This window comes from Homo sapiens, chromosome 13 (genome assembly GCF_000001405.40).
Source record: "Homo sapiens chromosome 13, GRCh38.p14 Primary Assembly".
NCBI classification, from domain to species: Eukaryota; Metazoa; Chordata; class Mammalia; order Primates; family Hominidae; genus Homo; species Homo sapiens.
Genome location: NC_000013.11, coordinates 39,552,544 through 39,576,419, shown reverse-complemented (window position 1 = coordinate 39,576,419; position 23,876 = coordinate 39,552,544). Strand labels below are relative to the sequence as shown.

General features: G+C 40.0%; 1 protein-coding gene across 2 annotated transcripts in view, besides 5 other annotated features; it reads left to right on the top strand.

The window, feature by feature from the left end:
• Nucleotides 1-23,876, top strand: part of LHFPL6 (LHFPL tetraspan subfamily member 6) — a 260,302-nt gene that overhangs the window by 26,774 nt on the left and 209,652 nt on the right. The gene's annotated exons all lie outside the window — the stretch shown is intronic.
• Nucleotides 4,113-4,679: an enhancer, noted in NCBI's record as "H3K27ac-H3K4me1 hESC enhancer chr13:40145878-40146444 (GRCh37/hg19 assembly coordinates)". NCBI's record gives its function as "activates a minimal SCP1, AML or CMV promoter by ChIP-STARR-seq in primed H9 embryonic stem cells {active_cell/tissue: H9 hESC(primed)}" and the evidence as "EXISTENCE:reporter gene assay evidence [ECO:0000049][PMID:30033119]".
• Nucleotides 4,680-5,247: an enhancer, noted in NCBI's record as "H3K27ac-H3K4me1 hESC enhancer chr13:40145310-40145877 (GRCh37/hg19 assembly coordinates)". NCBI's record gives its function as "activates a minimal SCP1, AML or CMV promoter by ChIP-STARR-seq in primed H9 embryonic stem cells {active_cell/tissue: H9 hESC(primed)}" and the evidence as "EXISTENCE:reporter gene assay evidence [ECO:0000049][PMID:30033119]".
• Nucleotides 10,184-11,383: an enhancer, noted in NCBI's record as "CDK7 strongly-dependent group 2 enhancer chr13:40139174-40140373 (GRCh37/hg19 assembly coordinates)". NCBI's record gives its function as "activates an origin of replication core promoter dependent on BRD2, BRD4, P300/CBP, MED14 and CDK7 cofactors, with strong dependence on CDK7, by STARR-seq in HCT116 cells {active_cell/tissue: HCT116}" and the evidence as "EXISTENCE:reporter gene assay evidence [ECO:0000049][PMID:35650434]".
• Nucleotides 11,936-12,436: an enhancer, noted in NCBI's record as "H3K27ac hESC enhancer chr13:40138121-40138621 (GRCh37/hg19 assembly coordinates)". NCBI's record gives its function as "activates a minimal SCP1, AML or CMV promoter by ChIP-STARR-seq in primed H9 embryonic stem cells {active_cell/tissue: H9 hESC(primed)}" and the evidence as "EXISTENCE:reporter gene assay evidence [ECO:0000049][PMID:30033119]".
• Nucleotides 12,437-12,937: an enhancer, noted in NCBI's record as "H3K27ac hESC enhancer chr13:40137620-40138120 (GRCh37/hg19 assembly coordinates)". NCBI's record gives its function as "activates a minimal SCP1, AML or CMV promoter by ChIP-STARR-seq in primed H9 embryonic stem cells {active_cell/tissue: H9 hESC(primed)}" and the evidence as "EXISTENCE:reporter gene assay evidence [ECO:0000049][PMID:30033119]".

Genomic DNA, 23,876 nt, shown 5'->3' with positions numbered 1-23,876 from the left:
TATTTAATACTAGTACCTGTCACACCACAAATTGGAACTAATGCTTAATTTACCATCTTTGATGTCAGCCTCCACCAGTTTTCTTAGCACAAAATTTAAAGCAGTAAACTCTACCAACCTAAGCAATCTATTCTCATTCATGGCCCCAGTATTTTTACTGACTTTAACTGTGCTGTACTAGTAAATCATTTTGACCCAAACCTAGTCTGTATGAACTCTGTTAAAATGATTTTAAATTAGAGCAGTGAAAAATGGGCTTATTTCCTCTACTTTTGGAGACATAGGAACAAGTCCCAAATGGAATTGCCAAAGAGCCACTGGTCCCAGGAAGAGGTAAGCGAAACCTTCACATTTAAGAAATCCCCTGGGGTAGGTTTCGTTTACAAGTAAAATTGAATTGTAATAAAGCAGAAGGAAGAGATGCCTCCTCTAGGGCTCCTTGCAAGGTAGATAAACCTGAATAGAAAGTAAATGTTGGCCCCTCTGTGGTCTCCACACATTTGAAAGTAAACTGGTAATTTCTAATCAGACGTGTCAGCACAGATAATCCTTCAGCTGCTGAACGTCAATCTGAAGATAGGAGCAGGCTAGAGTCTGCACCAGGGCTGTCCTGTGGTTAGAAGTGAGACATAAGGAGAAACCGTGCACACCCGGGCAGAAGCGAACCGGACCCCACAGCGGAAGGAGCTCCCCACTCCACAGCTGTCCCCATGTCCTTCCCACTTCGGAATTTTGAACTTTTTGACCGGCAAATTGCTACCCCAGTTCTTTGCTGCTTCTTTTCCTTTAGTTGACTGCCTGATTCACAGCGTTATCACTTGTTACTAAAAGCTAGGGCTTTTAGAATTAAAATGAAGCTAAAAATAAATCTGGCCACTTGGACTTCTTAATTTTGAAACATAGAGATGTCATAGTAAATTAGCAAGGAGTTGTGACTAAAATGATATCTTATGACTATTTGTGGATTTTCATGATACTAGTTTTTAATTTTAACACTAATCTTTAATTTTAATATAGATAAAGAAATGCTAGTAGTCTGGAGGAAAATGTATTAAAAATCGTTCCTTAACTGTGCGCTAAAGTCTGAAATACAAGTAAGGGTACAAATAGTTTCAGAAATGATTGTCCTGGGGGTATTAGCAGAATCACAAACCAAAATATAACACGTCATCTTTCAGTCTTTACATCTGTGCTCTGCTATTCCCAGGAAAGGTAGTATAGCTCTGGTTACCCGTGTATGTGGTCATCATTGTGTTTTCATTTGATGAGGTATCCTGTAACAAAGACAGAGAGGGACAGGCGGGGAATAGAATGGAAATTTCTTAGACCCACCTGTATTTTTTTTTTTCTTGAGATGGAGTTTGCTCTGTCGCGAGGCCAAAGTGCAGTAGCGCTATCTCGGCTCACTGCAACCTCTGCCTCCCAGATTCAAGTGATTCTCATGCCTCAGCCACCTGAGTAGCTGGGATTACCGGCGTGCACCACCACACCCAGCTGATTTTTGATTTTTAGTAGAGACAGGGTTTCACCATGATGGCCAGACTGGTCTCCAACTCCTGACCTCGGGTAATCCACCCATCTCGGCCTCCCAAAGTGCTAAGATTATAGGCGTGAGCCACCACTCCTGGCCCCACCTGTTTTTTGATGAAGGAATCACACTGCCTCATTCTTGCTGGTACACTTGCCAGTACACTTGCCTTGCACATCCAGCCTCTTGTACATCCATATCAATTTGCAGAAATCTCAGTATGTCATCATCCAGCTAACTATGGATGCGAGACCTTGCTCTGCAGTGCAGCTAGGAGAACAAGATTTTAACACGCAAAAATCGTTGAATAATCAATTAATGAATAGTCCAAATAATATGAAATATGACCTATTATTTACACACCATGGGTGGAACATGTTTATTTGTAATCTTTTTTTTTTTTTTTTTTGAGACGGAGTCTTGATCTGTCACCCAGGCTGGAGTGCAGTGGCACGATCTCAGCTCACTGCAAGCTCCGCCTCTTGGGGTTCACGCCATTCTGCTGCCTCAGCCTCCTGAGTAGCTGGGACTACAGGTGCCCACCACCACATCTGGCTAATTTTTTGTATTTTTAGTAGAGACGGGGTTTCACCATGTTAGCCAGGATGATCTTGTTCTCCTGACCTTGTGATCCGCCCGCCTCGGCCTCCCAAAGTGCTGGGATTACAGGCGTGAGCCACCGCGCCCGGCCTTGTTTGTAATCTTTACTATATCTTTCTAAGATAGTGTGGGCCCTGTTTCACAGATGTGAAAGCCGAGGTTTAGAGAAGTCAGGAGTATGCAGCAGGCTACTGGCTGAGCTGGAATTCAAATATGGATCAGGTGCGTCAAAATCTGTTCCTTCCCATTATAATATGCCCCTTCCCTGTCTCGCACACAGATGAATTATAGTGAAGCTATATACTTTCTGTTGGGAGATACTTCATTTTTCTCTGGAATGATGAGAGAAGGTGCCTTGGACCCGTATGTAAACCTGGCGATATATGGTTTGCAAAAATGATAGAGGAAAAATATTTCAAAAATAATAAACAGAGGAAAAATATTTCAAGCTTCCTTTTTATGTTTTATAATTATTTCCTATAAAGTTTCAAAGTGATTAACTATTAGCCTACTCATAAATATTAATATTGGAAGGAATTTACTAGATGCAATATTATTTCTTTTTTTTTCTTTAGTTATTTTTCCTAGATGCAAGATTATTTCCAGTCCCTTTTGTGTGGGGCAAAGTAGAATAAAGATAACACTGTAATTAAAAAACTTGTGATGTTAAACCGAAAGTATTTTGTAAAAAGTTATACCATGTAAAAGAAGGGCATTTAAAGTTCTAACCTTCAAGCTCAGAAAATTTTCTATTTACAACTATGGCTGCTTTTCCTTAGGTGGAGATATGCATTCATAAATTTTAATCTATTTTGATGATTATTGTTCTATTAAAATAGTTTTCTTTATTCTATATTTTCATTAAGATCTTCCAATTATTTTTCTGGTCCCAGAACAAACTCCATGTGAACGGTTCTTTTTAAAAACATACATTAAAAAAAGATGCCTTCCTTTCGAAGGCTAAGACCTATTGATACATACTCATTTAAATTGTAAAATCTATTTCAGGAGTTAATTTGTTTCACCTAGTTTTTTTTGCTTAGTAGAAATAGGAGTATTTAGGCAAGAATGAATCTCTATTCCACATTTTCACCTATTTTGATAGGGGAAAATCTCTATCAAATGTGTTTTGTACCTAAAATACTGTTGTATCTGGAGTCCTATACCATACATTTTTACAAATCTTCAAAACACAATAGAAGTTACGGCATTGGCTAGGTTAAAAAACAGTATGCGGTACATTTAGTTTCAATCCTGGTTGTTTCTTCTTTACGTGGAAATAAGCTAGGAAATTTGCCATCATCAGATATTAGATTGCGTATCTCACCTTTAACCTCAATAACATTATTCATTACTTTCCTATGAATTCTGATCCCCTTGCCCTCAGCCTTGTGACCCAAAGACCATGTGACTGGCTGACTTGGAGGAGAAGCTAATGGTCATTGACTGGTATTTCACAAATCCAGAATCCTTCCACTTAGGAGAAAGATGGCTTTTTCTACCAGTTTTTGATGGCTTGGGTATGCAAACTCAGAAGGTTAAGATCTGGCTATTTGTGCAACAGCTGAGTCTTAAAGTGGAAGGTGACGATTAAAGGAAATAGAGGACAGGAGAGGCAGGCAGCAAGAGTGGAGGAGACACAGAACCGCCAACACATTTTAGTTATGAGCAGAAGGAAGATAGGTGGCCAAGCCTACTTTGCGTAGAAAATTGGACTGTGGTGTGTTTTCCTTTTCAAAAGCTGTAACAATTAGGGATAAAGCTTTTACTTCTTAAAGAGAGGTTTTTGAGTAATAGGAGATGGATGTACTGTATAATACCCTTTATTGAGAATCGGACTGGAACCTCTGAATTATGGCTTTATACATATATTCATAGAAGATCTATGTCTGGGCCCTGCATTTGTGTACGTGTATATGTTTCTGGAAAGAGGTCTCAGACTGATTCTCACTGGGGACTGTCACACACACACACACACACACACACACACACACACACACACAGAGTTTAAAAAATATACTACCACGGCTCTGAGCCATAAATGACTAACTCTTTAGATTTTTCTATCTTAAATGCTTTATTTTATATTTGATTGTATGCAATATTAGGTGTCTTTATTTTTATGAAAGCTTACTACGTTGCTATCTGATTGCTACTTATGTAGGACACAAGTACAATTCTAGGAGATTCTTGTCCTGTGATACAGTATCCTTGGCCAGTTCATGTCCTTTGCCCCTGATTTAATTGTCACATTTATAACCTTGGACATATTGATGCAGGATTTTTCTCAGCCCCTTCACCAACTCACGGCAGGGGAGCCCCCTCTACTTGGCTCGTCACACTCAACCCCTTGCAGGAGGCAGCACATGAGCAAGCGAGCGTAGGATCCGGCCAGCCACTCTGGGTGCTGACACAGAAGCAAGCTCCATGCAGGGCCCGTGGCCAGACCAGGCATGTCACCTTGAGGGGAATGTGGTGGCGCCCCTGTGAGGGTGCCCATGACCCCAAAGCCCCAGAGAGGATGTTACAGTGCTCCTTAAATTCCACTGTCCACGGACAGCGGTGTGTTAGCAGCTCAGTTGGCCTCTTGCCTTGTTGTGTGGGGTGGCTGCCCTCCGCCGTCAAGGGCAAAGGGCCGGTGTGACAGCCTTACTGGATACCCGCAATCAGTGGGTCCCGAGCTCTTGTCCGGCATCCAGGAAGAATGAGGTCACACAGATAGTTGAAGGATGGTGAAGGTGGGTAGTTTTATTGAGTGATGAAAACAGTTCTCAGCTGGAGAGGGGAAGAGAAGGGCAGGTCATCTTCCCTGATGTCAGGCTGTCACCTCCCTGAAGTCAGGTCGTCTCCTCCTCTACTGACTGAGTCTGGGGTCTTTATAGGCAAAAGGTTGAGGCAAAGACACCACTCAAAGTTGGATATGACGGTGTAGAAGACCAATTAGGAAAGGGTAGGGATATGTAAAATAGGTGAAGGGTGGGGATCAATAAGAGGAAAGCGCATCGAACAGGAAGACAAGTTCTCAATCTGGTCGGAGGATTTAACTTGTAGCTTGGCTTTCAGGCTTTAAACTGTCTTTGGCTTGGAGGTGGGGTTTCACCAGGGACCTGCCCTATCTGTCTAGGCATTTGGCTGCCTCCTATCATTATCAATATGTGGTCACAAACATTTATTGAAATAAAGCCTGATTTGTGGTTTGAGGCATCTTTCAGCATTTCCTAAAAAGAATAAGCTTGCCTAAAATCTGAACTACATGAAGTGGTTAGTTTATTGTTGTTTTTCACACTTTCAATCTAGTAGTGGTTAGATTAATGGAAATTAAGGATTCTCGCTTACTGAATCTGACTGGATGGGGAGATAAAGAATGTTATCCATGGGTAAAAGAAATTACAGGGTTCTTCTTACTTTGAACATTCATCTTCAAGAAATAGCCTCATTTGCTTTAGGCTTTTGCCTTAAATATTTAGGAGAAAAACACACACGTGGCATGCCCATGCACACACACACATTCACTCACACGCACTCACATGCACACACTGTTGCCCCATACTGACCGTTGATAGTGTTAATACTTAAAGTACAACTATTTTATATCTACCAGAGCTATAATCATGATTAAATCATTGTTGCTGCAAATGGTAATTGCATGGCAATCTTCTTACTTAGTTCTTTGATTATCATTCTATATATCATTCTAATATATACATTATATATTGTATTATATAAGATTATCATTTTATTTTATATTATTATTCTATTATATATTACTCTATTATTTTACTCCCACATCCTCTTTTCTTGCCATGTTTTTAATGAATCCTTCTGGATATTTAAAAATTACATAAATTAGCCAGGCGTGGTGGCTTATGCCTGTAATCTCAGCACTTTGGGACAGCAAGGCTGGAAGATGCTTGAGCCCAGGAGTTTGAGACCAACCTGGCCAACATAGTGAGACCCTGTCTCTACTAAAGATGTAAAGATTTTAAAATTTAAAGTGATGGCTCACTTCTATAGTCCTGGCTATTCAGGAGGCTGAGATGAGAGATTGCCTGAATCCAGGAGTTCCAGGTTACAGTGACTATGGTTGTGCCACTGAACTCCAGCCTGGGTGACAGAGCAAGACCCTGTTTCTAAAAATAAATAAATACAATAAAATAAATTTAAAAAGAGTAAAGAAAGATTAAGCTTGAAAAGCTAACTTGGAGTCAGAACCTGCCCATATGACTTTTCCTCAGGCCATTGTTTCCCTTGTATATAGATATTTCATAGACTCTCAGAATTTTGAAGTGAAAAGAATGTAAGAATTTCCTTTTCTTCCACCATTCTAAATCATTCCTTCTGGACAGTCAGAGTCACCATGTGCTTGAACAGGTGCTTAAAGACTCCAAAAGTTGTTTCATCCATTTTAAAACGTTTCGAATTGTTAGCATTTTCATAATTTTCCAAATGAGCTTGTGCCTCCTGCTCATTTCTGCTAGTTCTAGTTGGGCACTCTGTATATGTAAGAAAGTGAAGATATTAATTTATTAATAGCACCCTTTAGTGATAATTTTTCAATAGTTTGAATACACCTTACTGTCCTGTCATCCAAACTTGACTTTTCCATTTTGATCATAAAGAATATTAATTCATCAAATATCTTACAAAAATCAAGACACTTTATACCTGTAGTATTTTCTCGTCAAAACCAAAGTTGAGGTAAATTTAACACCGTTTATTCTTGGTGATATAGTATTGCTTGCTGGTAATCTACTTTTTCTTGAGTAAGTTTTTTAGGACATCTGGTTAATAATACCATTTGCAATTTTTTCAGGTTCTCAACATAAAATTATTGACCTGTATTTCCAAAAACTAACATTTTCTCCTTTTGAAAATGAGACCAATAGATTGATGGGTTCCAAGACCTGGCTATCTAGCCTATTTATGCTTGCTGAAGTCCTTGTCATCATTAATTGCTAATAGATCCCTTACATTTATGAACTCCAGAACCACTATGTTTCAACTATTCAAATAGGTTTGCAAAGACATTTGCGGATAAGCTCTGTATGGTTTAGAAACCAATAACAATTCTGATGTTTGCAGTTTATATCTGTCCATCAATCCATCCATCCATCCATCCATCCATCCATCCATCCGTCCGTCCATCCATCCATCCATCCATCCGTGTTTACTAAGCCTCTATTGTGTGCCAGAAACTGAGCTAAGGCCAAAGATACATTGATGAGCAGGGCTGACATGATCGCTGCCCTCACGGGTCTTATTCTGCTAGGATTTTCAATTTCCAAGCAGTAATGCAAACCAATATGGGAAATGGTTTTAAGCACCAATGAAAAGGGTTAACTGCTCAGGTTGAAGGATGGATGATTGAGGAGTGTGGGTGAAAGTTCAATAGAAATCCCTCTGTGTTTGTCGAATCCTGAACTCTAGGGTTGAGGTCACTGGATATGATCAACTCAAATTCTGGTCTGCTGCTGGAAAGCAAAGCAAGAGTCCATCTCTGGAGGTAGCACTGGCCTCCACCTAAACTGGACAGTGTGAACATTAGAGGATGTAGGGGTGAAAGGAGCCAGAGCCTGGAGCTTCTGAGATGGGCAGGAAGGAGTTTTTGAGTTATGCATCATGCAGAGAAAAAGTGAAATGTAAATACATATAAAAACAATTTCACAGTGCTTTCCAAGTTTAATTTCTAGAATGAATATTCTGCTTACAGAATTGAGAGAAAGCTAATTGAGAAATATGACTTTTGGAAATGATTTTATTTGGGTTAGGTTTTTTTATTTATATAGGCAGATATATATGGTGTTTTGCTCTGTTTACATAGCTTTATACCTTTTTATATACTAAATTGAAATGGATAGGTAGAAGCAATATTTTCAGAATTGGTCATTGTCCTGAATAAAATGAGCCACTGTGTTCTCTCAGGCACCATGCAAGCTCACCCAATATTCATATACCACAAAAGGGTGTTTTTCCTGCTTAAGTTTATATTCTATATCATATTCTGTTTTTTTTTTCTGGATATTTCCACTTTATATTGTTCTCTTTCAACATTTTGTAAGAAGTAGTATTTCCTATTCTCTGCTGTTACAAAGACTATGAAAATACATGCAACTCATTTAAAGAAACAGGTGGATGTCTGGAAGTTTTCTCTACCTAACACTTTCACATATAAAATTTATGATGTTTGGTTTCTATGGTATTTAACATTGGCAAGAAAAAATAACTCCCAATGAAGTAACTAAGACCACTTGTTCTAGTTCTTCCTGTAGTGGAAAGAGATAGAGAAGAGTGATAGTAACAAAGTATTCTCATTACTCTAGAACAGAGATTGGCAAACATTTTTCTGTAAAGGGCCAGATGGTATATACTTTTGGCTTCGTGGGCCATAGGGTCTCTGTTAAAACTGCTCAACTCTGTCTTTGGGGTGGGAAAGCAGCAGTAGACACTTTGTAAATGAATGGGAATGGCTGTGTTCCAATAAAACTTTATTTACAAAAATAGGCTGTGGGCAGCATTTAGCCTGTGTTCTGTAGTTTGCCCATCCCTGCTCTATAAAAAGAGTAGGAAACTATGCCCCAGGGCCAAATCCAGCCTGAAGCCTGTTTTTGTTTGGCCACAGAGCTAGGAATGGTTTATGTGTTTTCAAAGAGTTGTTAAAGGAGGAGAGGGAAGAGGAGAGGAAGGAAAAGGTAGAAGAGGAGAGGAAGGGAGAGAAATAGGAAGAGGAAGAAGAGGAAGAAAACCTTATGTGGCCCACAAAGCGTAAAAGTTGACCATTTGGACCTCTATGGAAAAAGTCTGTTAGATCTTGCTCTGAGAGATTGTTTACTTGTAACTTCCTTGATAATTTCAACTTACGGATTTGATTTTGTGCTCATTTTCTATTTTCCTATGCTTATAGTCTTCGTAATATGAAGCAAGTAAGTTTATTAGTCAGATAAAATACAGAATTTAAAATTTTGGTAATGTATTGGCTATCAGAAAAAATACTGATTGCTTTCTGTGTCACTTTATTCTTTTGAAATTTGAGATTTTATAAGAAATTTTGAAAATGTATATTATTCTCTTGTCTTGAAAATGTTTTTAAGTGGGAATATAAGAAACAAGGATGTGTTCCTGCTTAATTCTGTGCCTGAACTTTGGAGTCTTCTGATCTGTGTTTGGGACAGAGAATGCTCTAGCTATGCTAAAACCTTTTCAATAATTGTAACGTTGTTTGATGTTAGCAAAAAACAAAAACAAAAATGAAAAAAAAAAAAAAACCCTGGCTAACATTTATTCAGTGCTTAACTATGTGAAAGGCACCATGCTAAATGCTTTTAACATTATTTTCTCACTATTCTGGGAGGCATGTGTGATTATAAACCTGGTTTTAAGGCTGAAGAGATCAAGACACAGAGAAATTAAGTATTATTATTTGTCCAGGATTAACAGCCAGATAGTGGTAGAAATGGGGTTTAACCTAGGTTTTAGAGGAGTTCCGCCAAGTAGAGGTCACTTTCAATTTTCCTACAATGCCCTTTAAAGCAAATTTTTTTTTTTTTTTTTTTTTTTTTTTTTAGACAGGGTCTTGCTCTGTTGCCCAGGTTGGAATGCAGTAGTGCAATCTCAGCTCACTGCAGCCTGGACTTCCTGGGCTCAGGTGATCCTCTCACCTCAGCCTCCTGAGTACCTGGGACTACAGGTACACGCCACCATGCCCAGCTAATTTTTTGTAGAGACCGCGTCTCCCTGTGTTGCCTAGGCTCGTCTCAAACTCCTAGGCTCTAGTGATCCACCTGTCTCAGCCTCCCAGAGTGTTAGGATTACAGGTGAGAGCCACAGCGCCCAGCTGAACTCATCATTTATTACTTCGTCAATCTCAGTAACCTTTTGTAAGTGATGCCACAACGGACAATGTATACTGAGTCATTCAGACATGGTTTCTGCTTTCTAAGGATTTATTAATATTTCAAAATGATGCTTGATGCCTAGCAAGTAGAAAAATCCAGTTGCCTTATTAGAACTTAACAAAAATGAATGAGTTAGAAAATTAGCAGTCATGTATTCCTCTGTTCTGTACAGCTAAATACAATTTCCAACTTCTTAATGAGGGGCTGAGAGTTCTGTATGAAGACTTCTACCTCCTTTTTCTGTTTTTGTTCCAACAGGATAAAATCATGTGTTTGACATGTTGAACTTGAGAGGCACATACTTGCCATAATAAGTATACATGGTTTTTCAAGTTCCTAAAAGTCCTTTCTTCATTTGTTTGAGTCTATGTTTCAGATAGATCCTAGGGCATAATAATTTAAAAATCCAATTAAACCATAAAACAAAATGTCCTTACTGTTTTTCTGTTGATTTGGTCTCTTTTTATTTGGCAGCAAAGTTTCTTCCTGTTGTTATTTCTCATGTGACTCCCGTGAACTGGTGGGTCCTGGAATCCCCACGTACAGTGGGTTGGAACCCATTCTGCCTGGGAGCCCCAGTGTAGGTGGCTGAGGCAGTGAGTCAACAGCACTGGAATTTGCTTGCTTCAGAGTGATAATTCTCATGCAAATAGTTCTCAGTTTTTCAAAAGAAGGGCTTGTCAGCCTCATACTTTCAAAGTGACTCTGCCAGGAATTTACAGTTTTACGAGATTATACATAGAATGTTCTGTTATAATAATCAAATGTTCATTCAGAAATAACCCAATTAATGCAGACTGTACAACAGATCGCCACCATTTGCACCAAAATTCCATTCAAACTACAATTCCCTTCTCCACTGTTTCTTTGGTTCTTTCCTCCTCATTCAGCAGCTTGTTTTCTGCTGTCTGATAGTTATGCCAACATTCCATCTTATTTTAACAACTACACAAATATAAAAACCACAGCACCAAAATTGAAGTTGGAGCTTCATTTTGTACTATTTAAGAACTGTATTGTCGTATGTAATTTGCAGTAAACTTGAACACAAAATGAAATTTAAAAAACCTTTCTTTTTGCCTGTAATGTTTAGAAATGATGTTCTCTTTGAACTGTACTGGATTTTTTTTTTTAAGGGTACACTATCATTCTATGATGAAATATACTGTAATTCAACTAATTCAACTGCTTTTTCTCTGTTTTATCTTTCTTGGCTTATTGTCCTCCTGGATATAAGATGATATAGATGGCAAGCTTATTTCAGGACAGTTTGTTTTTTATTCTAAGCAAATGGTAGTTTTTAAACAACAATGGTCATTTTGATCTTTGGAGATCGGTCTTCCATTCTTAGAGCATTGGAATGTAGAAGAGATGTTTATGCCTTGGGATTGCCACTCATCCAGAGCCACTCCTCTGTGAGAATACAATCTTTGATTTGTTGCCCTTTATATTTACTTTACTTCTTATTGAACGATGTCCACTATACAATAGCAAGATATAATAAGGTATAGAGACAGAGTTTACAGAACCTTGCCCCATTAGCATTTTCAAATTTTGTCACATCAGAGTTAGTATACTGCTCCAATTTTCAGAAGAACATAGCTCATTGGCAGAAGGTGGAAGTAGTGTTCTTAACCCTTTTACATAAAAGGCTACTTAAATAAGCAAACTTAATTCTTCCATCAGCTTTTCTATTTTCTTAAGTGCAAACTGACTTTATTTACCCATGGTTAGATACTTTTGACTTACATATTTCCCAAAGGCAACCAAAATGGTATAATAGCGTAGTGCAATTTTATGGGAGTCTCTTTGGCACCATAGTAATTCTTTTTGATCTACAGTTCACCTCTGGGTATGGTGGCTACGGGTGGTGCATCACAAGCAGAGTCAAAGGCCATTTTTAATGCTCTTGGGTTTTGTACTGCATGGGCCATTTTTTGAAGTTTAGAAATATGAAGATGCACATATTTGTTGCTCTGGCCCAGTATTGATATCATAGGCCAGATGGGTTTGAGATAGAGAGCACATACATATTTAATGTTCATTTTTATTCTTTATTGCCTCTAGTGGAAGGACTCCAAAGAGGTCATCTCATTTAATCTTGGCAATAGATTTTACCATTTTTTAAATCAAATACTCCCCATTAAGCACTCTATATTTATAATTGTGTGTTAGGTGCTATATTCAGAGTGTACTAAACAGACTTTATTCCTGGCCTTGACAATTTGTCTGCGGATTTGGCCAAATCTGTGCTGTATTTCTTTTGAACAAAAATAAAATGCTCCAGAGGAAAACAGCTCCCAATCTCCTGGATTTAATGACTCTCGATGGTGGGAAGCCTTCCAGTGCAATGATAATAGCAGTCCATGTTTACTGAGTGTTCACCATGGGCTCAACGTGATACGGGGAGACTTACACCATTTTTATCACCTTTGGGGGATATACAACAAGTGTCTATTCTCTCACATAACCGCCCTAGGGGATAGTGTCTATTAGCCTCATTTTCAGGGGAAAAAGCCGAGGCTCTGAGAAGAAAAGGAACGTGCCATACCTCATTCTTAATTTTGTTTTCAGTCCCCTGAGTTAGCTGGTACACTTTATGACCTGAAAGCATGAATAGAATCTGTTACCCTGGCAGGAATAATAAAACACAGAGACATGACAATGGATTAATAAAGATCTGATGAGGAGCAAAAACCTCCCAATCACCCTAAGAAATGCTGCTCCCAGGGAAGTAGAAATTATGTTCTGAGTCCCATATTTCCACTTTGCCTGCCTGTTTTATTCTTATTAGCCAAGAAGGCGTTAAAATATGCAATGATTCTGCTCTTGAGAATGCCTCTATACTGCTGACTTGTGAGCTTTTACCCTCTAAGAATATTTTTGCTCCCTTGCCTCATTATCTAACACCTATTTGATCTGTATAAGTCACTTATCAACCCACCAGACTCATGTATTCTAGTCACTTAGGAATATGCTTGCTTTTTTCCTGTGCACAAGATGTATCTCTCTATTTTGTTTCTGTCATCTGCAGATTTAGTGACTTGGGGCAGCATGGACTGTCACAGAGGGGTTTTCTTGTTTGATCCATTCTTCTACTTTTCTGCTTTTATATGATCTATATAATTTAAAGTTATTGGAATTCCAGCTCCCTTTTATTTTTAGTTTAATCCTGATTTTTATTTTTAATTTAATTAGCTCTAATTTTTTTAAAAAGACATTTTTAACATTGTTGCTTTGCTGGATAATTCAGAGATGCTGTGTGTGTGTGTGTGTGTGTGTGTGTGTGTGTGTGTGTGTGTGTGTGTTTCTAGTATTGCCCCATGACCTTTATGACTCATTTAATGAGGAATTTAAACAAATTACTATTACTCCTACTGCATTCATTATCAACTAGCAGGCATCAGCTTTCTGCATAAAATATTTTTTTTCTTTGAATACCCTCTATTTCCCCTCTGTGAGGAATTTATTCTCCCCTTGGTGCATGGGGACAGATTATGTTCATAATAGCCATTAATGATAATAGGAAGAGTGTGTAAATCTTTGAAGCATTGAAAACTGAATGGCGCTCTGGTGGGTCTTTTTCTGTGTCTTACCTTACTAGATTTTGTTTTGCAGCAGGTGCTATTGGTTGGGTAAAGTGCCGTTCCTCATGTTTTTCTCTTTATTCTATACACGTAGTGTGTGTGTGTATATATATATATGTGTGTGTGTGTGTGTATATATGTGTGTATATATGTGTATATGTGTGTATATATGTGTATATATATGTGTGTATATATGTGTATATATGTATATGTGTATATATGTATATATGTGTATATATGTATGTGTATATGTATGTGTATATATGTATATGTGTATATATGTGTATATGTGTATATATGTATATATGTATATATGTATATGTGTATATATGTATATGTGTATATGTGTATATATGTATATATGTGTATATATGTATATATGTATATATGTATATGTGTATATGTGTATATATGTATATATATGTATATGTATATATGTATATATGTATATGTATATATATGTATATATATACACACACACACACTCAGAACATGGTTCTTCTCACACTGGAAGAGGATTACTCTTTATTTGTTGGTGTCTCCATGAGGGCAGGAGCTGATTCGATTCATTTTCCTCTCCATGTTTAGTACTGCACACAATGCACCATTCATGCTGGATAGATATTCCTACCTAGAGGAATGAAAGGGTACATTCACTTCCTGAACATGAAAGCAGAGTGGCTGCTAATCCTGCCTGGGGCAATATTCTTATGCTAAAATGCATATTGTAGGAGTTATTGCATAAATATTTGTTCTTATTTATAACTCATGGGAAATAGTTTAGAGAAATGAAAAGAATACAGAACTTGAAATTAGAAGATTTGGCCCTCATCCTGCTAATTATTGACTATGTATGAGTTTTAGGAAATTTTTTAAAAAGTCTCTAGCTTCAGTTTTCTCATCTATTACATAGAGATAATAGTTTCTAACTCAGAGGATTGTTGTGAGAATCAAGTGAAAGCCCATATTCACTCTGATTCAACAAACATTTACAGAGTAGTCACTCAGTGTTAGGCCCTGGGGTAAGTTCTGAGAATAAATAAGATGCCACTCCTGGCCTGGTGCCATGGTTCACACCTGTAATCCCCAGCACTTTGGGAGGCCTAGGTGGGAGGATCACTTACGGCCAAGAGTTCAAGACCAGCCTGGGCATCATAGCAAGATCCTGTTTTTACCAAACAAACAAAGCAGACATGGCGGCTTGTGCCTATGATTCCAGCTACTTGGGAGGCTGAGGCAGGAGGATCACTTGAGCCCAGGAGTTTGAGGCTGCAAAATTGCACCACTGCACTCCAGCCTGGGTGACAGAACAAGACCCCATCTCTTAAAAATATTCAGAACTAACAAACCAAATGCCACTTCTCTCTTCCCAAAACTCAGACACTGAGAGAGGTTCTCGTCAAAGTCCAAAATGCACATTAAGTTGTGGGGATCTTATTAACAATGATGATTCTGATGCTGTAGGTTTGAAGACGACTCAAGATTCCCTGGAGACATCAATGCTGCTGGTCCATGGGCCACGGCTTGGATAGAAAGGGTTTAGGGAGAGGTTGACAAGTAATAATGCAGGGTGGGTGAGTACTGCTCTACTGGCATTCTAAAAGCAGAGTGAGACAGAGAGGGGTATGGGGAGTGGGGAGGAGGCAGGCAAAGCCTCCTAGAAGTGAGTGACTTGGGCCCTGAATAGGTGAGTCAATTTACCAAGCAGAAAAGTAGGAAAGGCCTTTGGTCAGAGGGAGCACCATGGATGTGGACCCCGGCTGGCTCCTGCATAGAGTGAAGAATGCAGAGGAAGGTGATGGGACGATGGCCAGAGAGGAGGCTGGAAAGCTCACCAGGGTCTGGATGGTGAAGGGTCAGCTCTGTTTGCCATGGTAAGACCTAAGACTCCAGTCAGCAGGGAGTCTTGAGGTTTCATAGAGGTCTGGTTATAGTGGACATGACAAACTGCTTTGAAAATAGCCAATACTACATCATGTTAGAGAATTTGCATAACCCAGCAGGGCGCGGTGGCTCACGCCTGTAATCCTAGCACTTTGGGAGGCCGAGGTGGGCGGATCATGAGGTCAGGAGATAGAGACCATCCTGGCTAACACGGTGAAACCGTCTCTACTAAAAATACAAAAAGAAATTAGCCGGGCGTGGGGGCGGGCACCTGTAGTTCCAGCTACACGGGAGGCTGAGGTAGGAGAATGGCGTGAACCCGGGAGGCGGGGCTTGCAGTGAGCCGAGATCGCGCCACTGCACTCCAGCCTGGGCGACAGAGGGAGACGCCGTCTCAAAAAAAGAAAAAAAAAAAAAAAAAAAAGAGAATTTGCATAACCCAAAGGAGATTGTGCTTGAACACTCCCAGGCAGTGAATAATCTGCAAAGGAGTAAGACTGTAGTTGAGAGGCAGGTTTTTAGACTTCCACAGGCTTGGGAGACAAACAGAACAGAAATTGATTTCTGGTTCCCTGCTTTCTAGCTATATAACCTCAAGAAAATTAATTAACTTTCTGAATCTTAGTTTTCTCACCTGTAGAAAGGATGCAATAAATCCTGTCTCATCAAAGAATTGTGAAGAGGAAGTCATTCATTTAATTCATTGAAGCACTACATTTTGGCAAAGCATGCAGTTTGTTGATAACAGGAGGTATTTGTTAACTTATTATTAATGTTGATTTGGAGCTCCCATGAATTTTTGCCTAGGAAATGACCTGGTAGATCGGATAGTTACCATGTTGATAGATTGCCAAGTGCCTTTTCTCATGTGTGGGGTTCTGATGCCATCATCAGCTGGAAGCTCAGTTGGTCTTGTGGGTGGCATGCTGCACCAGTTGTCTGATTCAGCAATGCTGTGAGAGAATTGAGAGGGCGTTCATTCAGTAAAGGGTGGGAAGGATTTTCTTAAATGTTTAAAAATAAAAAAAGACAAATAAATGTTTTCTCTTTAGAGGAGGGAAAATGGGGGACTGCCGTAGTACTCCCCAAGGATTTAATTCAATAAAACACATTATTAATAATATAGTTGAGAAGATTTTCCTGACATAACCACATGTAGGTTAGGTGGCCTTCTCTGTGCTACAGCATGCAGTGGCCATTTGCAGCCTGGCACTCCTCACATTTAATATAATCCGTACTTTTCACCCGTTCTTCTAGATTTGAGCTTCTTGAGGCAGACAGTTGTCTTTTTATCTTTGGTTTCCCACTGCCTGGAGCAGAGGCACATCGTTGGCTTTCACTAAATGCTTTTATCTACACACTTATTCTCTGAGCTATGTTATCCTTGGTAGAAAGGAATGGCACTGGAGGAAGTGGGGCTTACGGAGCTCCGCGTCATCACTCTGGGGATCTGCAGTGTCCTTGTTAATTAGTCAATTCTGACTCTGTGCCCTACTTTGGATATTATTTTTGAGATCGAAGTGCCCCTCTTTAACCCTGTCTGCCTCCGCATCATGCTTCCTGTTCATTAGGTCAGTCACATGAGAATAAACACTTTGTCTCCTCTGATCAACTCCCATCCTTTGACACTAGCCGCTGCCTCTGAATCCCAGCCTAAAGAATGGAGCCTGTGGGCCTCTCCCATGTCTGCTGAATGTGGCCTTTGGGTGAGGACATCTCTACCTGTCCCTGGAGGAGAGGCACTGAGTCCTCCCTTGGCCTCAAAACTGGTATCTTCCCTGACTCTTGGCGGTCAGTGAGACTTCCGCCAGCTGTCTGCTGTTGTCTCCTTGGATGTTGCCTTTGGTCTGATAGACTGGGCTTATTTCAGTGCCTGCAACAGAACCTGTCTCTCAGCACCTCTCCATCGGGGAGGCTCTAGCCCCTCCTACTCTGCTTTGTTCATTTAAACTTGAATGGGCCAAGACCAAAGGCGTGATTTCATGAAATGAACAAGAATTTCATAGAATGGAATTTTCTAACGATATTCATCATTTCCAGTAAGGATTTTAAAAAGGTCAGCTTTACTTAAATATATGCAAACAGAGTGGTATTTAAAGATTGGAAAGCATTATTTAAGAAAATGATAGATTTCCCTTCCTAAAATAGGGTATCCTGCCTGGTGCTGGGGAGAGAGTAGGCAGGTCAAGGGCTTCTCCTCTCTATAGCATTTCTGCTTCCCAAAGTCATTGTCAGATATCCCTGATTTTATTTTATACGCCAGCATACAACTTAGGCCAAAACTTGTGTCAGAACTGCTTTAATGAATATATTTGTAGTGGCCTTTTAAAAATGATATCATCATCGTGTCATCTGGTAAGCAGAGGAAGTAAGTGACTTTGAAGCAAGTTCTATTGGTGAAAAAATATTTCATCATTATGAGAGAACATTGAATGATGAAAAATAAAGAAGCGCATTATACAGTTGAGAGGTAACTTCCAATTATGTGTTGTCAAAATGTCCTATTGAACTTTGCTGGAGATGGTGGAGAAAGGGTAATTAACACCTAATATTTATTTAGTAACTGCTATATTATAGGCATTGCATGTATGTTATCTCATTCAATCTTTATAACCTTATCTGTTCCCTACCGCGAGGCAGGAATTATTCCTATTTTTCATGTAATGAATTGGAGGTTAGGTGACCTGTCCAAGGCCCCACAGCTCATCTACAAAGTCTGTTACTATTCTACACTCTGTGAGACTAGTGTAATATTTTAATATTCACAGTAGTACCTTGATTAACTGAACGGTGTGATAGTGTGTTGGTCTGCTCTTGCATTACATTAAGAAATGCCTAAGGCTGGGTAGTTTATGAAGAGAGGTTTAATTGGCTCATTGTTCTGCAGGCCGTACGGAAAGCATGGTGCCAGCATCTGCTCAGCTTCTGGTGAGGGCCTCAGGAAGCTTCCAATCATGGCAGAAGACAAAGGGGGAGCAGGTGTGTCATGGCCAGAGCAGGAATGAGAGAGCAAAGGGGGAGCTCCAAGACTCTTAAACAACCACATCTTGCATAAACTAACTGGGCAAGAACTCACTCATCATCAAGGGGTTGGGGCTGAGCCGTTCATGAGGGCTTCCAAGCACGCTGAGGAGCAACACCTGTCAGAGAGATTACTATGACTAATAGGGTATCAAGTGTTACTATCCGACACCTCCCATGAGGCCTCATCTCCAACACTGGGGATCACATCTCAACATGAGATATGCAGGGGTCAGATATCCAAACAATATCTTTCTGCATGTGGCCCCCACAGATCTCATGTCCTTCTCACGTTGTAAAACACAATCATCCTTTTTTAGTAGTAGATCTGCCACCGTATCTACTGCAGGTGGGACTAGAGGGCGGCAGCCCCCTTGCCACAGCTCCACTAGGTAGTGCCCTGGTGGGGACTGTGTACTGGGGTTCCAACCCCACATTTTCCCTCCACACTGCCCTAGTAGAGGCTGTGCAGCAGGCTCTGTCTGGACGCTCAGGCTTTCCCATACATCCTCTGAAATCCGTGTGGAAGCCACCAAGCCCCCTTCGCTCTTGCATTCCATAGGCCTACAGGCTTAACACCACATGGCGGCCACCAAGGCTGATGGCTCGCCCCGTCTAAAGTGGTGTCCTGAGCCAGAATGTGGGGAGCAGTATCCTAAGGCTGATCAGGGTGGTGGGGCCCTGGGCCTGGCCCCTGAAACTGCTTTCTCCTTCTAGGCTTCTGGGTTTGTGATGGGAGTGGCTGCCTCAAAGATTTCTGAAATGCTTTCTAGGCCTTTTTCTTGTTGTCTTGGATAGTAACACTTGGCACCCTTTTAGTCATAGTAATCTCTCTAGCAGGTGGTTGCTCCTTAGTGTGCTTGGAATCCTTCTCGACCACAGGGCCAGGCTGCAAGTTTTCCAGACTTTTATGCTCTGCTCCTATTATTTATTTATTATTTATTTAGGGACAGGATCTTGCCCTGTCACTCAGGCTGGACTGCAGTGGTGTGATCATGGCTCACTGCAGCTTCAATCTTCTGGGCTCAAGAGATCCTCCAGCCTCAGCCTCTTGAGTAGCTGGGACTACAGGGATGTGCCATCATGGCTGGCTGATTTTTATTTTTTTGTAGAGATGGAGTGTCACTATGTTGCCAGGTCTAGTCCCAAACTCCTGGGTTCAAACAATCTTCCCACCTCAGCTTCCCAAATTGCTGGGTTTATAGCATGAGCCACCATGTCCAGTCACTGCTTTCTCTTTAAATATAAATTCCAATTTGAAGTCATTTCTTTGGTCCCGTTATCTGATTATAAGCTGTTAGAAGCCACTAGGCCACTTCTTGAATGTCTTACTGCTTAGAAATTTCTTCTGCCAGATACCCTAGGTCATCACTCTGAAGTGCAAACTTCCACACATCCCTAGGGCATAAACACAGTACAGCCAAGTTCTTCGCCAGGGTGTAACAGGGGTGACCATTACTCTAGTTCCCAATAACTTCCTTATTTCCATCTGAGATCTCAGTCTGGACTTCACTTTCCATATTTCTATCAGCGTTTTGGTCACAACCATTTAACCAGTCTCTAAGAAGTTCCAAACTTTCCCTCATCTTCCTGTCTTCTTCTTTGACCTCCAAACTCCTCCAACCTCTGGCCATTACCAAGTTCCAAAGCTGCTTTCACATTTTCAGCACCCCACTCCTTAGTGCCAATTTTCTGTGTTAGTCTGTTCTTGTATGGCTATAAAGAAATACCTGCAGCTGGATCATTAATAAAGACGTTTTATTGACTCACGGTTCTGCTGGCTGTACAGGAAACATGGCGCTGACATCTGCTCAGCTTCTGGTGTGGGCTTCAGGAAGCTCCTAATCTTGGTGGAAGGCAAAGGGGGAGCAGGTGTGTCACATGGCAAGAGTGGGAGTGAGAGAGTGAAGGGGGAGGTCCCAGACTCTTTTAAACAACCAGATCTCATGTGAACTAATTGAGTGAGAACTCACTTACCACCAAGGGGATGGTACTAAGCCATTCATGAGAGACCTGCCCCCATGATCCAGTACTTCCCACTAGGTCCCACCTGCAACATCTTCAACATGAGATTTGGAGGGGACAGATATCCAAACCATATCATGTATGGATGGAATGTCCTTATTAATTGAAATTTCTTGTTGAAGGCCATGAAAATATTTATCAGTTTTGTTAAAAATCTTTCAAAATTATGTTGGCTTCTTTTGCTATCTTTATAAACGTGTTATATGCTATGTATAATTTAATACTTAAATTTTTGTTACTAAATATCTTGCCTTCACTTATGTTTATTATTGTGAACACCAGTTTCAATAAACTGATGCTTAATAAGCTCACTAAAGTTTAGTGCTAAGTTAGCCTCAGCCATTCATTTTACAGATGAGGAAATAGTGACCCAGAGAAATTGAGAGACTTTGCTCAGAGTCACCGTGTTTGTTGTTAGAGGCACAGTGTGTGTGTGATTACAGAACTTTCATCTGAATGCTATAATATGTGCCTAAAAGAAAGCGCTATCGCATGAGTTCTGGTAGCACCTTATTTTCTTTCTTAATTTCACAGCAGAATGCAAAAAAAAAAAAAAAAGGGCGGGGAGAGCTCTGTTTTTCAAAGTTTTACTGTATTCAGAAGCCACCTTTCACTTATTTGATTCTGCCCAATATGTCAGACAGACAAGGATGAGAATACAAAGGGATTGGAGCACCTCTGGGTCCTGATTCTAATTGAATTTAACATAGTCATATTTGTCAGTTTCCGAGTAGGAGTGAAGTAGCTGATGCTGTATTGTAATATTGTTAGAATTTTGAAGGAGCCAAAAGCTTACTTGGCCTTGTTCGTAATCTTTTATTTTTGATAATGGAGCAAGAGTATTTATTTGCACCACATCTGGACTTGACTTCTGGCTAGAAAAGAAAATTTTTTCTGAAGAGTTCCTCCCACTTCTAAGACCCCAGATCCACAACACATTGCATTTAGCCTATCAAGCATTGTACTGTTGTATGAGGGATGCAAAGGTTCATATGCCATGCTGTCAAAAATTTACAACCTTTAGTACTTGACTAAGTAGAGGTTAAACTTTAATGAAAACTTTACTATAACAATGGAGGCATATTCAAGGTGTTCAGGGAAAAGGACAGATCTACCCAAGGGCAGTAGATGGGGATGTGAATGGCTGGGGGGACACACGCCTATTGGAGAAGACAGTCAGAAAGTTGTCAGTAGTTGAATCAGCTTGTTGAAAGTTCAGTGGGTGGGGAGGAGGGGGAAGACAACAACATTTGAAAACACGGAGATGTGAAAAAGTCTGGTCTGTTTGGGCATTGATTCTGGTGTGATGTGACTGTAGAAGTATGCAGGGATGCAGGCGAAACAACTAGAAGGAAAAATTGGGATCAGATAATGAAACATCTTGAATTCCATGCTCAACTGTTCAGAACATTCTGTAGGAAACTGGGGGTTGTTAAAGTGTCTGACTTGCATTTATGGGATGATATGTCCTGACATGCATTTTAATAAAACAATGATTTTGATTTAGTAAGAAAATTATTCCTCTTTAGCGATTAAAGAGTATATTAAAGAGGCAAAAGAATGAGGAAAGGAGACCTTTTAGAAGACAAATGATGAAGACTTTTACTTGTGGTATGGCAGAAAAAATGGAGACTGGTAGATAACTTTGAGATCTACATCTGTATAGAAGCTGCCAGATTAAGTGATTGATTATAGGAAGTACAGGAGAGGGAGAAGTCAAAGTAGATTGCTTAATCCAGAGTCATAGGACAAGTAATGGTGTTATTGGTAGCTGAGAAAACACAAGGAGAGTTAAAAAGAAAGTTATAGAATGAAATCCAAGGAGCAACTTTGAAAGGTAGATGAGCCTTTCATAAGGTATAACAAGCCACCTCAAAATTTCATAGCTTAAAACGACAACCATATATTAATTAAGCTTGTGAGCTGATGGGTTGGTGGGGTGGTTCATCAGGTCTGGGCTGGCTTAGGTTAGTCTGACCTTTTTTTCACTGATTGTCTGCCATCGGCAGGGAAATTGGCAGGTGGCTGGCTGGTTTAGGATGGCCTCAGCTGGAATGATGTTCCACTATCTGTTTCTGTTCATCCAGCAGGCTAGGTAAAGTTTGTTTTCATGACAGTGGGTCAGGATTCCAACGTGCACCTGGCCTTTTTTATTTATTTTATTATTTTTTGAGACAAGGTCTTGCTCTGTCACCCAGGCTGTAGCGCAGTGGCGCAATCATAGTTCACTGCAGCCTCACACTGCTGGGCTCAAGTGCCACCTCAGCTTCCTGAGTAGCTGGGACTACAGGCACAGACCACCATGCTGGCTAATTAAAAAAAATATTTTTTTTTGTAGAGATGAAGTCTCACTATGTTGCTCAGGCTGGTCTTGAACTCCTGAGCTCAAGGGATCCTCATATCTTCGCCTCCCCAAGTATTGTGATAAGAGGTGTGAGCCTGCATGCCTGGCCGTGCCTGAAGTTTTGAAATCCAGTCTCAAGACTGACATAGTGTCACTTCCACTGCATTTTCTCTGGCCAAAGGAAGTTTCAAAGCCTGTCCAAATTCATGGGGTGAAGCTGCAAATTTACATTCCAGGGAGTTGGGTATAGGAAAGGTTGAAGAATGGGGTTTTTGCTGTAATTAGTCTACCACAGTGATTCATAATTATTAGATGATTATCAAAATAATTTCTAAATTGTATTCCATTAATTGTATTTCTGTGCTTTCCCATGAAGACTAAAATGAATGATTTTCTAATATTAGCTTAAATGTATTGACATATTTCAATTTTCTCATTTTGTGGGATATTATTCTGGTTGCTCTTTGCAGGGTTCCTGATGCTTTACATTTTTAAGTTTAACTTCATTTAAAAGCATTAATAAAGTTTTTTTCTCTTTTATTCAGAATTACCTCCAGAATAAGTGTACAACAAATCCTGCAAGTAAGGTATCCCAAAGCATCATCCTCATTCTTGGTCACCACCTCCAGAATAAGTATACAACAAATCCTGCAAGTAAGGTATCCCAAAGCATCATCCTCATTCTTGGTCACCACCTCCAAAAAGGCACCCATTAAATTAAAAAAACTGGCTAAATATGTAACTGTGCCTTCATTGTCTTTGGGTGGAGACCTTCACTTCAGAAGCTTCATGGGCTGTTTTTTCACTGTTGCTGGTGCATTGCAAGATGTTGCCCTTGGCAAGGTGTGCTTGGTCCCTACAGTTCTTCTCTATCATTCTTATTAATGATGTTTTGCTAGTCCCATGCAGAGCCTTTGAATATCATTCCAAGAAAGGACCACCCACAGTGAAAATATTACGCCTATCCAGTGGTCTTGAATGTGTCCCTTATGAAG